Source organism: Homo sapiens, chromosome 2 (genome assembly GCF_000001405.40).
Source record: "Homo sapiens chromosome 2, GRCh38.p14 Primary Assembly".
NCBI classification, from domain to species: Eukaryota; Metazoa; Chordata; class Mammalia; order Primates; family Hominidae; genus Homo; species Homo sapiens.
Genome location: NC_000002.12, coordinates 196,943,726 through 196,958,409, shown reverse-complemented (window position 1 = coordinate 196,958,409; position 14,684 = coordinate 196,943,726).

Sequence of the window (14,684 nt, the reverse complement as noted above, 5' to 3'; positions counted from 1 at the left end):
GATACGGTATAATTTACTGAATGTTTTTGTCCTCTAGCTGGATTAGTTGAAACTGAAGCCAAATGTGTGACTACTTAAGGCTGTGAATGCTTAAAGACTTTGAATAGCCATTAGAGTCTGTTCAACTGTAACTAATAAGCTTCCTTCTAGTTCTTAGACTTGGTTTATCACAGAAGTTCCTGTTTGCATTTTAAAATTCATTTCTAGGTAAGGTCTTGGCTAAGGAGAAGAAGGAAGGAAAGGAAGGTAGATTCTGTTTGGATTTTAAGGTCAGGCAGTCAGTTTGGCAGCTGGGCTTATATAACCTTTAACTTCTCCTAATTAGAAATTTTCAAAGTACCTGGCTCTCCCCAGGATGCCAATTTGCTAGAGAATCTGCTTGCAGCCTCCATGTAATCAATTTGAATCTTTAACCAACAAAAATAACAAAAGCTTCAGCTCCATGAAACAAGCTATTCTCCATTGTTTGACTCATTGTGAGGCTGGGGTTAACCTCACAATTTTAAACTCATTCATCTTAATGTACACCCTATTCAATTACCCCCATGTCCTACAAATAGGTCAAACTTTCATAAACCTTCAGAGAGAAGCCAGTCATAGAGGAGAAGTGTTTTCCTCTCACTGGTGTTTGAAAGTAACTCTTTTAACATCATTTCCAGATAAAGGTTTTAAAAATACGGCCAGGCAGGGTGGCTCAGGCCTGTAATCCCAGGGCTTTGGGAGGCCAAGGCGAGAGGATTGTTCAAGGCAAGGAATTTGACACCAGCCTGGGCTGGTCTCTACAAAAAAATTAAACAATTAGCCAGCATGGTGGCGCACGCCTGTAGTCCTAGCTACTTGGCAGGCTGAGGCAGGAAGATCACTTAAGTCCAGGAGTTTGAGGTTACAGTGAGCTGTGATCACTCCAGCCCGGGTAACAATGAGACTCTGTCTCTAAATACATATATATAGAGTCTCTAAATATATATATATTTTTTATATATAAATATATTGATTGACCTCTCATGTCTTTATATATAAATATATATTATATAATATATAAAGACATGAGAGGTCAATCAATATATATATTTATATATAAATATATATATATATTTAGAGACAAATATGTGTAAGATGTACATTGGTTCACTCCAGAAAGGTAGGAGAGATCACAGGTAGATAAGAGACAATGGGTTGCATTTATATATATATACAAAGTTTGTTATTCTTTTACTATGTGAGAATGACAATTAAGTTGTTAAAATTAACAATCCATTGAATATCGGTTGTGATAAAGAAATCAAGTATCTTTTTAACAAGAAAGTGAAAAGCAAAGGGAAATTTCAGCTTGTATTAAAAAACTTAAGAGCTCAGTTTATTTCAATATAGAATTTCAGGATAATGTGCTAGAGTGTGAATGTACCCATGATTCTATAACTTTCCATGCTTGTCTTCATCTTTTGTAACTTTATCCCCTTCCATAGTTCCAATTACTATTTATAGCCTTTCTAAAGCTGAGTTCAGTAGCTTTCCTTCCAACTTCTTTCTTTACTTTAAAAAAAAAAAAAAAAAGTGGTCAGGTGAGGTGGCTCACACCTTTAATCCCAACACTTTGGGAGGCCGAGGCAGGTGGATCACCTGAGGTCAGGAGTACAAGAGCAGCCTGTCCAACATGGTGAAACCCCATCTCTACTAAAAATACAAAAATTAGCTGGGCATGGTGGCACATACCTGTAATCCCAGCTACTCAGGAGGCTGAGGCAGGAGAATCGCTTGAACCCAGGAGGCAGAGGTTGCAGGGAGCCGAGATCGCGCCATTGTACTACAGCCTGGGCGACAGAGCAAAACTCTGTCTCAAACAGCTTTAATAAGGCACAATTCACGTAACATTACTATTCACATACCATACCGTTCACCTTTGTTTTAAAGTTTACAATTCAGTGGTTTTTAGTATATTCACAGGACTGGCAACTATCACCACAATCTAATTTTAGAACATTTTCACCACTCCTGTGAACCCAGAAAGTATCTGAGACAGGTCTCAATCAATTTAGAAAGTTTATTTTGCCAGGTTTAAGGACGTGCCCATGATAAAGCCTCTGGAGGTCCTGATGATGACACTGCCGTTGGAAAATTATGACTGAGACAGTGAAAGACACCTAACCGGGGAGACTGATTTGAGTAATAATAAAGCTCCGATCCCCTGCACAGCTGGCTCTGCATGAATTACCCTTTCTCTATTGCAATTCCCCTGTCTTGATAAATCGGCTCTGGCCAGGCAGCAGGCAAGGTGAACCCACTGGGCAGTTACAATGACATGTGCCCAAGGGGGTCAGGGCACAGCTTGGTTTTATACACGTTAGGGAGATATAAGAGATCAATCAATATGTGTAAGATGTACATTGGTTCACTCCAGAAAGGCAGGAGGGATCAGAGGTAAATAAGAGACAAAGAGTTGCATTCTTTTGAGTCTCTGATTAGCCTTTCACTGAATACACAATTTACACGTGAGAGGTGGGTAGAAGAATAGTCACTTATGCCTTAGTCTGGCTCAGTGATTTGTACATAAACAATAAGGCAGAGGAAGCAATCAGATATGCATTTGTCTCAGGTGAGCAGGGGAATGACTGTGACATCAGTCCTTTATCCAGCACCTGTGAAGATTAGCTACCAATTTACGTTGCCAAGGTAAAATACAGCATAACTGTTTTAGGGTAAAAATCTTGAGTCTCACAAGGAATTTTCTTGTGGGCAAAGTGTGAGGGAGGTATGTATTATGTTGGTGCAAAAGTAATTGTGGTTTTTGCCATTTAAACATAGGAAAAACCACAACTGCTTTCGCACCAACCTAATAGCTTTTTTATCTTTGTAGCTATCTAATTTAGGAATAAAACAGGAGCAGGTTTGCCTGATGCAGTCTCAGCTTGACTTTTCCCTTTGGCTGAGTGATTTATTTTCTTTCATAACCCAAAAAGAGACTCCATATCCATCAGCAGTCACTCCCCGTTTTTTACTCCTCTACCTCAATCCTAGGCAATCACAAATCTATTTTCTGTAGCTATGGAGTGCCTAGTCTGAAAATTTTATATGAATGGAATCGTACAACATGTGATCTTTTGTGACTGGGTTCTTTCACTTAGCATAATGTATTCAAGATTTATTCATGTTGTAGCATGTATCAGTACTTCCTTTTAGTTACTGCACAATGTTCCATTGTATGTCTATACCACATTTATTTACTTACTAGTTGATGGACATTTGGATTGTTTCCTCTTTGTGCATATACTAGAGTCATCTTTGTCCTTTATTTTCCTCTATTCTTCAACATATAATCGGTAGGCATACCTATTGCTTCTGTCATTGTAATGTCTTTCTCATATGTCTCTCCTGTCCATCACTACTGCTATAGCTTAGTTTTGTGATATCACCATTTCTCACTTTGTATTACTCCAAACAGCTTTCTATATGTTCTTTCCTCGCCCAATCTTGTCTCCTTCCCTAATCCATCCTGAACACTACAGTTTTAGTGTACTTTGTAGTCGCTTAAAAACACCAAATAGATTTCCGTATCCTATGGTGTTTCTAAAATGCAGACCCTATGGATGAGGGATGGGTTTGAGATGGGGGTGGCAGGCGAAGACTTTTAAAATATTTTTATTTCTGGGCCTCCACATTCTGTAGAACTGGGGTAGAACTGAGAAATCATTATTTTAAAAAGATAGATTCACAGGGGAATTCTATCAAACCATAAAAGATGAGATCATTGGAATGCTATTTTATCCAGTTGAGAGTACTGGAAAAGTAAGAAAACTTCTAAAAATCTTTTAAGAAAACCATAAACTAATCTCACTTATGAGGCATAAAAAATCTTAAAAATTAGCAAAGAGGACCAATGGCATATTGACATAGGAGTTAAAAAGAATCTATTTAGGCAGATAGTGAAGTAAGAAAGTCCTCGGTAAGGTTTTCTTTTTTATAAAAAGCAGCCCCCAAATCCTTTCTTTTCCTAACAAAAAGCAGCCTGAAAAATCAAGCTGCAAGCATAGATAAGCAAGCTAAAAGCTTGCATAGGTAAATACCAGCAGCTGTGCCAATAGAAGAAAAAGGCTACCTGGGGGCCAAGCATGTTCAATATGGAGGCTCCATCTTCCCCTTTCTTTGTCAACGATATGTACAGTAAGGAACAGACAACATGGCGCCAGCCATGTGGAGAGTCCATCTGCATAATAAAAGATTAGGGTGGTATGGCCAGCTTTCTCATGTGCTATGCAAACGTCACACCTAGTCCAACCAATCTCTCTCGGGCCCTGTGTAAATCAGACACCACATCCTCAAGCTCCTCTGTGAAACCTCATGCATTTCACCACGAAACTGGAAGATCCAGTTAGGGGTCTGCAAGAGAGAGATCTAGTCTCTTTTCTCTTTCTTTTGCCTATTAAAATTCTGCTCTTAAACTCACTTCTTGTGTGTTCACGTCCTCAATTCCCTTGGCATGAGATAATGAACCTCAGGTATTTACCCCAGAAAATGACACTTCTTCAGTATTTAATAATAATATATAAGTATTATTATAAAATGTATTCCGAGAATACAAGAGTGGTTCCTTAGTAGAGCATCAATTAATACAATTAATCATATTAATAAAGCTAAGGAAAAAAATCAGATTGCTGCTGCCATAAATGCCAAAAAGGTATTTGGCAAACAAAATTCAACATGCATTTATGTTAAAAATACTCAATTAATAGAAATTGATGGCTATTTCAGCCAAAGCCAGCTTCCCACCTAATGGAAAATTTTTTTTTTTTTTTTTTTTTTTCTGAGATGGAGTCTTGCTCTGTTGCCCAGGCTGGGAACGATCTTGGCTCACTGCAACCTCTGCCTCCCGGGTTCAAGTGATTCTCCTGTCTCAGCCTCCTGAGTAGCTGGGATTACAGGCACGCACCATCACGCCCAGCTAATTTTTGTGTTTTTAGTAGAGATGGGGTTTTGCCACGTTGGCCAGGCTAATCTCAAACTCCTGACCTCAGGTGATCCACCTGCCTTGGCCTCCCAAAGTGCTGGCATTACAGGCATGAGCCACTGCACCTGGCTGGAAAAACATTATTAAAAGTAGTAAGAAGACAAAGATGACCACCATGTCCATTACTATTAAGCCTTGGAAACAGGGATTAGCCAATACAATTATATGAGAAAGTTTTTTTTTTTTTTTTTTTTTTTGAGACAAGCTCTTGCTTTGTCACCCAAGCTGGAGAGCAGTGGTGCAATCATGGCTCACTGCCCTGGCTCAGGTGATCCTCCCACGTCAGCCTCCCACGTAGCTGGGACATCAGTTGTACCATCAAGCCTGACTATTTTTGTTGTTGTTGTTGTTGTAGATGAGGTTTTGCCATGTTGCCCTGGCTGGGAGAAAGCATTTAATTACACAAGAATCAGAAGGAAAATAAAAAACTATCTCTTTCCAGATGATGTGATTACATATCTAGGAAACAAAAAATAGGCCTGGCTCAGTGGCCCACATTTCTTGTAATCCTAGCACTTTGGGAGATGAGGTGGGATCACTTGAGCCCAGGAGTTCAAGACCAGCCAGATCAATATAGGGAGACCCTGTTTCTACAAAAAAATTTAAAAATTAGCTTGCCTGTTGTCTGAGCTACTCAGGAGGCTGAGGTGGGAGGATTACTTGAGCTCTGGAGGTTGAGGCTGCAGTGAGCAGTGATTGCATCACAGCACTCCAGCCTGGGTGATAGAGCAAGACCTTGTCTCAAAAGAGAGAAAAAAGAAAACAAAAGTAAATGGAGAAATTAATATAAATAATAAGAGAATTTGGTAAACAGGTAGCATACAAAATTAATATAAATAAGTCAATAGTCTTATATAAATACATAATAAGCAGACAGAAGAAATAATGCTTGATACCTATAAGCACTTCTGAGAGTTTTTGTAACATATTCTACAGCTGAGTAGGACTAGGTGGTTAGATATAGAAGTGGCAAAAACAGCTTTGACTTTTCCTTTTGTAACCTCCTGTATGAATGATTAACAATAAGTTGATATGCTTAAAACAAAACTAATTAGTAATAGAAGAAAGAATAATAATTTATTTTAGTTTTCCAGAGGATTGTGATGGATGGGCTAAGATGTAAGGCATCCACATGAATCCTGGAAGGTCAGAAGCCTCCAGACCTTCACCTCTTCCCACACTCCACCCCATATTCCTTATGCCAGAAAAGCCCCGCCTAGTTGCAGTTCCCTGGCACAGCAGGTTGTTTCATTGCTCTGTGCCTATGCTTTTTGTAGGAACTACAGAAGGAGGTCTCCTTTCAAGGGTCACACTCACTGAGGCCTCTTGAGTGCCCTCCTCTCTCCAACCCTCATCCCCAGCTCCGGGTAGAATTTACTACTTCCTTCTTTGTATCACTCCATGAACCTTGCTCATTTCCACATCTGCTTCATCCCTCAAGACTGTCTGACTCCTCTCCAAGCATACTCCTTGCCCTAATGTATCTGGTCAGTAAATTGAGTGAGTGAGAAAAGAAAATATTTGGCTTAATTACTTGATGGGTGGCTGTCTCAATTTCTGGGATAAGAATCTTTCAAATATCCCTACTCTGGTTTTCCCAGTCAAAATATTTGTCACATATCATGATGGTGAATTAGTTTTGAAACATACTATAAAAGAAATATTCATACTTCTTTGAAGTAAAAAATGACTGTGAAAAATATTTCCTTTTCAAGTTGTATCATTTGCAACCAAGAGGAGAGAAGGTACCATTGTATGTAATTAAACAGATTTTCAACTTTTTAATAGATTGTCTCTATAAGTTAAAGATACTTATGTGCACAATAGTCATTGCCCCCTCTAATCTAGTAGTTCAGAACAAAGCTAGAGCTGTAGGACCCATGAGTGCTGTGTCCTCCAATGCCTAGGGGTACTGTTAGTGAACTACCTTAAGAAACCCGAAACAGAAATTTGCGATGCAATCTGAATTCCAAATGACTTGCAAGCAGATTATACTCTAAAAATTCATTTGTAAATTGAGGACCTTGAACTCTTCAAATCAAGAGGAAAAGGCAAATGAAATAAAACATATCTCTGATGACATATAATTAGAAAAATAACTTCTGAAAGTAGTTGTCAGGATAGAAGAGAGACTTTTCACTGTTCACACTTTTTACCTTTCGAAATTTGTACCATGTGATAATTATTCCTCCAAAAAAGTTTATTTTATTTAAAAAATGTTAAAAGTGTTAAATTATAGATTTAGATCGTTTCTCTAGTGTGAAAGTGAACATATATTGTTTCTTTAACTTCTGGTCTCTTTCTCCTGCTGTTGAACTTGAACCTGCTTACTGTAAAAATTACTCTACATGCTGGCTTCCCCTTTCTGTAAAAATAAGTACATCCTGGTGGGAGTAACTTGTTTTGTCTTAATCATAAAATGAGTATCTTTCACAGTAATATTTATTCCCTACTTCTGGGGTTTTCTTCTGTGTGAAGGGACATCAGTTAGTATAACTCTCCTGACCCTCTGCATCCACACACTCTACCCTAGGGAAGGGAGTGACCTACCTGCTGAATTTGGGAGCCCCATGCTTCCTCCTCTCCTCCTCTTGGGACCAGTTACCCACAGGAAGCACCCTTGTCTCTAAGCCAGTGTTATAGGACCAGACCTCACACAGATCGCCAGCAGTGGTCCACACCTGAGTGGGAATGTCAGTCTAATTCTGGGATGTAGTATTTTTCCCAGACATAAGTGGCATTTTCCAATAGCTGCTTTACAAGTAATCAAAATGATATGTTGATCTCCACCTGTCTTACCCCAAGCCTATCTCTTCAAACCTCAAGGAAAAATGGAGGTAGTATGTATTTGTCCCAGTGGATATCACCTGCTATGCCTTTCTTCAGTGGTGCTCTGAAAAAAAAAACAGGAAAAAAAATATTCAAGTAAGATGCATTGAAAGCATATTGGTAATTCAGAAAAATATATTAAAATGAGGAAAATCTAATTTCAGACTGAATTTCCTGTGCTTTATTCCTTCATTTCTCCCTATTTTTGTCTCCTCCTACTATTTCCTGGCTTGCGTTACATTCTTATTTCCTTAATCAGTTGTTCACTCACTACTCCTTCATTCATCCATTTAACAAACATTTAGTTAACTCCTATGTGCCAAATGAGAACATAGCATTCCAAGACGACTAAAACAGTCTGGTGGAAGAGATAGATAAATATATTGCTAGTTAAAATGCAATCAGATAAGTACAGTGGCAAAGAAGTGCACAAAGAGTTATGGAGGCATTGAAATGCGACATCTAATCTAGCCAGGGGGAGCCAGAGAAGGTTTCTGGAAGATGTAGAACCTGAGCAGCATCTTAAAAGATGAGTGGGAGGCCGGGCATGGTGGCTCATGCCTGTAATCCCAGCACTTTTGGAGGCCAAGGTGGGCAGATCATCTGGGGTCAGGAGTTCGAGACCAGCCTGGCCAACATGGTGAAACCCCAACTGTACTAAAAATACAAAAATTAGCCGGGCATGGTGACATGCACCTGTAATTCCAGCTACTGGGGAGGCTGAGGCAGGAGAATTGCTTGAACCTGGGAGGCAGAGGTTGCAGTGAGGCAAGATTGTGCCATTTCACTCCAGCCTGGGAGACAAGAGCGAAACTCTGTCTCAAAAAAAAAAAAAAAAAAAAAAAAAGAGTGGGAAAAATAAGTTCTGATAGTTCTGATGAATAATTAAACATTTTTTCATTGCCACTTTTATCTCCAAGGGGGTGAATTTGCACAAATGATTTTTAAAATTTTTTTATTGTAAATTGACAATTTATAATTGTATGAACTTATGAGGTCCAAAGTGATGTTATGATTTATTAATACAATGTGAAATAATTAAATCAAGGTAGTTAACATATCCATCACCTCAAATATTTAACTTTTTTTTTGTGGTGAGACATTTGAAATTTACTCTCTTAGCAATTTTGAGATGGAAAGCAAGCAACCTGTGCGTTGTGAGTATGCTTTTCAAATGTGATGCCTGGCTCTGTCATGCTGGTTGTCGCAGATCCTTTGGTGCACCCTTGGCCTACCTCTGGTTGCAGCTGCAGCTGCAGCTGTGGTGGACAGTTCCATGTATGCTGGTAGGATCTATTTCCTGTACCATTGTATGCATAATGCCTTTTCTGCCTCTAGGTTTCTTTGGAAGCCTTGTACCTAGTCCAAGTGCAAGCGCAGCCCAGAAGTGTCAGTGAGTTAATACCCCTGGGAGCAACTCTCGACCAGTCGGGGCTAAAGTCAGTCAGTGCACAGTCTCCTGTTCTTCAACATGAATTCAGGAGACATTCTTTGTGCTTCTCCGAGGTTTTGGTGGAATTGAGCCCCTACTGTCTACAGAAATGACCTAAATAATACATAAGTTATCGACTTTTCTCCTTCCCTATATCAGTCTGCTTTACTGTCTCACAATCCTGCTCCCTGTGATCAGCCCAGAAGTTCACTACCTGCACCCAAGCCCTCATCACAGGTTCAAAAAATCCAAAGATTTTAATTATTCAGAAATAAAGAGCACTGGGGCCACCCAGTTCATTGGGGAGTGAATTCTTTTATAGAACTGAGCTCTTATCTCAATCATATCAGCTAAAGTATCTCAATAATTAACAATCTCTGTTGTTTTTTTGCTTTCAAAAGATATTTTGTTGTGAAATATTTCATATCTACAGAAGAGAAAATACAGTGTAAATGAGTAGTGTAAAGGATAAAACAAGGCCAGGTGTGGTGGCTCATGCCTGTAATCCCAGGACTTTAGGAGTCTGAGGCTGGTGGATTGCTTGAGCCCAAGAGTTTAAGACCAGCCTGGGTAACATAATGAGACCCCGCCTCTACAAAAAATTTCAAAAATTAGCTGGATGTGGTGGCATGTGCCTGTAGTCCCAGCTACTTGGAGGCTAAGGTGGAAGGATTGCTTGAGCCTAGGAGGTCAAGGCTGCAGTGAGCTGTGATTGTACCACCTGGGCAACAGAGCAGGACCCTGTGTCAAAAAAAAAAAAAAAAAAAAAAAGAATAAAATGAACAACCATTCAGCTTATAAAATAAAGCATAGCCAGTGCCTTAGAAACCCCTTATATGCCCACACCCCTTCCGCCCTCACAGGTGTAACCCCAACCAGAATTTTGTGTTCCTTGTTCCCTTATTTTTTATCATAGTATTAGCATATGTATGTATCACTAAACAATATGTCATTTAGTTTTGCCTGTTTTTTATATTTTACATAAATTATTTATATTCTTATTTAACTTGCTTTCTCTTTTCTTTCTCAAGGTTGTTTTTCAGATTTCTCTATGGTGATACATTTAAGAGTAATTCATTCATTTTCACCATGGTACCGTGTATAAATATACTATTCTTTATGTAGCCATTCTACTGTTGATGAACATTTAGGTTTTTTCTGTTTTTTTTTTTTTTTTGTAGTTACAAACAATGTTACTATGAACATCCTTGTACAGTGTCTCCTGAGTACATGTACAAGAGCTTCCATTATATGGAGTAGAAATACTGGGTTATGGTCTGTGCATGTTCAACTTTTTCATGTACTACCAAACCGCTGTACCAATTTACATTCCCACTGGAACTACATGACAGTTTCCATTGTTACACATCTTTTCCAACATTTGGTATTGTCTGAGTTCTTAATTTCTGTTAATATGGTAGAGGTTTAATGGTGTTTCATTGTGATTTTATGTTACATTTCTCTGACTACTAAAAACATTGAGTAGTTTAAAATATATTTGTATTCCATTTGTGTTTTCACTTCTGTGACATTAAGTCTTTTTATCCACGAGCATCATAGATTATCATCCAATTTTTATTTAGATTTTCTTTAAGGTCTTTCAATAAAAATTTAAAATTTTCCTATAAGGACTTACGCATTTGTTTTCCAGATTTATTCCTAGGTACTCTGCCTTGTTGCTATTACAAATAATACTTAAAATTTTTTTTTTCTAATATGTTTTTGTTATTTAAAAATGCAATTCATTTTTTATATATTGATTTTTGAATCCAGCAACCTTATAAAATTCATTAAGTCCAACAGTTTATCTGGAGATCTCTTGAGGTTTTCCACATAGGAAATTGTATTATCTGTAAATGACAGTTTTGTTTTTTTCCTTTTGGATTCATACGCCTTTTAGTTCTTTTTCTTATCTTAATACACTGGCTAGGATCTCCAGTTTAATGTTGGATAGTCTTGAGAGTGAATGTCCTTGTCATAAAATAGAGAATATAAAAAGTCATGGTAGTGAACATCCTTATTTTATCCCTCATTTTAAAAGGGATACTTTCAACATTTTGCCATTAAATGTACAATCTCCTGTGTTTTTTTTTTTGTAGAAGTTTTATCAGATGAAGCAAGTTCCTTATAGTCACAGTTTGCTGAGAGTTTTTCTGAATAGGATGTTAAGTTTTATTTAAAAATTTCTGCATCTGTTGAGATAATCACATAGTTTTTCCTTCTAATCTGTTAATGTACTATGTTTTTAAATACTTCTTAACATCTTAAAAACATTTTTACATTTTTAATGTTAAATCGATCTTATAGTTCTGGGAAAAAAACCTAACCAGTCATAAAGTATTTTTTTATACATTGATAGGCTTGTTATTGTTGTTTAGGATTTTTGCTTCTATATTTATGATTGAGATTGATCTGTACGTTTTCCTGTTTTGTACTAAATTTTGTATCAAGGTATTTTAACCTCATAAAATGAACCAAGGAGCCTTTTTTTCCCCTTCTCTGGGAATATTTGTGTAAGAATTGAAATTAGGCTGTTTAAGTCATCTTTATCTTTATTGATATTCTGTCTGCTTTATCTATCAATGGAGATAATTGTGTTACTCTTCCACTATGGTTGTCTTTTTTTTCTCTTAATTGCTGAGTTTAGTGTGTTTTATGTTTATAGTGAGTATTGTAATGTGAATTTATTCCTAGCTTTTTATATAGCATTTTAAAATTTATTCCACTTGAATATTTGCTAAAATGTGCCTGAAAAGTTTTTAGGGCACAGTGTTTTTCTTTTAGAATGGTTTTTAAATTCTGCTTTAATTTCTTTATTAGATATAGGACAATTCGGCCTGCCCCATTCTTCTTAGGTCAATTTTGTAAATTAAAATTTTCTAGGAATTAATCTATTTCACAGGTTTTCAAATTTATTGTATAAAGTTGTTCATATAAACTAATAAATATTTGAAGGAATATTATGCACTGTAAATTTGTGTTCTAGAGGCTATTTTTCTTTTTAAATTTTTTTTGTTTTGTTTTGTTTTTAGTTTTAACTGCTTTAAAAATAGGAATGCTTTGGTAGGAGTGTAAATTAGTTCAACCATTGTGGGACACAGTGTGGTGATTCCTCAAGGATCTAGAACTAGAAATACCATTTGACCCAGCGATCCCATTACTGGGTATATACCCAGAGGATTATAAATCATGCTACTGTAAAGACACATACACATGTATGTTTATTGCGGCACTATTCACAATAGCAAAGACTTGGAACCAGCCCAAATGTCCATCAATGATAGACTGGATTAAGAAAATGTGGCACATACACACCATGTAATACTATGCAGCCATAAAAAAGGATGAGTTCATGTCCTTTTCAGGGACATGGATGAAGCTGGAAACCATCATTCTCAGCAAACTATCACAAGGACAGAAAACCAAACACCACGTGTTCTCCCTCATAGGTGGGAGTTGAACAATGAGAACACTGGGGGAGTTGAACAATGAGAACACTTGGACACAGGGCGGGGAACATCACACACCAGGGCCTGTAGTGGGATGGGGGGCTGGGGGGAGGAATAGCATTAGGAAAAATACCTAATGTTAAATGACGAGTTGATGGGTGCAGCAAACCAACATGGCACATGTATACCTATGTAACAAACCTGCACGTTGTGCACATGTACCCCAGAACTTGAAGTATAATAATAAAAAAAATTAACACCTTTATTTTTTATTTATTTATTTATTATTTTTTTGAGATGGAGTCTCGCTGTGTCGCCCGGGCTGGAGTGCAGTGGTGTGATCTTGGTTCACTGCAACCTCCACCTCACGGGTTCAACCGATTCTCCTGCCTCAGCCTCCTGAGTAGCTGGGATTACAGGCACGTGCCACCACGCCTGCCTAATTTTTATATTTTTAGTAGAGACAGGGTTTCACCATGTTGGTCAGGCTGGTCTCAAACACCTGACCTCGTGATCCGCCCGCCTCAGCCTCCCAAAGTGCTGGGATTACAGGTGTGAGCCACCATGCCCAGCCAACAGCTTTATTAAGATATAGTTGGCAAACAACAAATTGCACATATTTAAAGTATACAATTTGATCAAGATACTGAACATATCCATCACCCCCAAAAGTTTTTTCATGTTCCTCTGCAATCCCTTCAGCATACTCAACTTAATGAATTATAAGAGTTTTCCACACTGGCTGGTGGGAGCAGGCACTATTCTTGGCCCTCTGTGAACCCCAGGTGCTGTTTCCCTTAATGCCTTCAGATGTTCCCGTCTCTGGCCTCAGGCAGTTTCCTCACACTCACGTGCAGATGTCTTAGGTTCTCTGTGCAGCCCTCTCGTTCTGTATTCTGTCATGCAAACTCTAGCTGCTTTGGTCTCACTGAACTCTCAGTTCTGTATTCACAGGGGAAAGCAACTTCTTAGCAACTCAGGGAAACTGCTGGGCTCTACCTCCTCCCTGCACTACCGCCTGGAAACTCTGAAGATAATGAGTTGGGGCAATACTGGGGCTCTCTTCATTTGTCTTCCATCTCACAGATCTCATAGGGATTAATGCCCTTTGTCCCCTGATGTCCAGTGTCTTGAAAATTGTTTTATTTATTTATTTATTTGGTTATTTCAGGTTTGTCTAATTAGTCATTTCAAGGAATCAGCTTTTGCTTGTTGATCTTTCCTATTAAATGTATGTTTTCAATTTCATAATTTCTTTATTTCATTCCATTTCCTCATTATTAATTCTGTTTTTCTAACCTGGATTAATAATATCAAGCTCTCATTTTCTTGTCTTAGCATATAAGACAATAAGTTTACTTCTCAGTAATACTTTAGCAGCACAAATAACCTTTGTTATACACGGTTTTCATTGTTCAATTCTAAAGAATTGCTAAACTTATCATTTTTTAATTTCACTCATGAATTTCTAGAAGTGTTTTTAAATTTCCAAATGGAATTTTCCTAGTTTTTATTATTAATTTCTAATTTAATTTCATTGTAGTTAGAGAAAGTCATCTTTGACATACTGTATAGTTGATAGACAACAAACTACACATGAAGTGTATAATTTGATAAGTCATAGCATATTTAAACACCCATGATACCATCACCACAATCAAGATAATAAAGTTATTTATCACCCTCAAAAGATTTATCATATCTCTTTGTAATTCTGAATACTTCATCTAATCAAAGGATTGGTATAATACGATATGACTGTTAGGATAATGTTGTCTGCAAGTAATGGAAAATTTAACTTAAAATAAGTCATACAATAGGGAAATTTTGTTATCTCACTTAACAGAATCCTGAGAGAAGACGCTTCTAGCTAGGGTCACTGAATTCAGCAGCTCAATGACACCATCGAGGTCTTAGGATTTTTATAACCTAAATAAATGTCCTTCAGTTCCCTTCCTAGTTGTAAGATAGC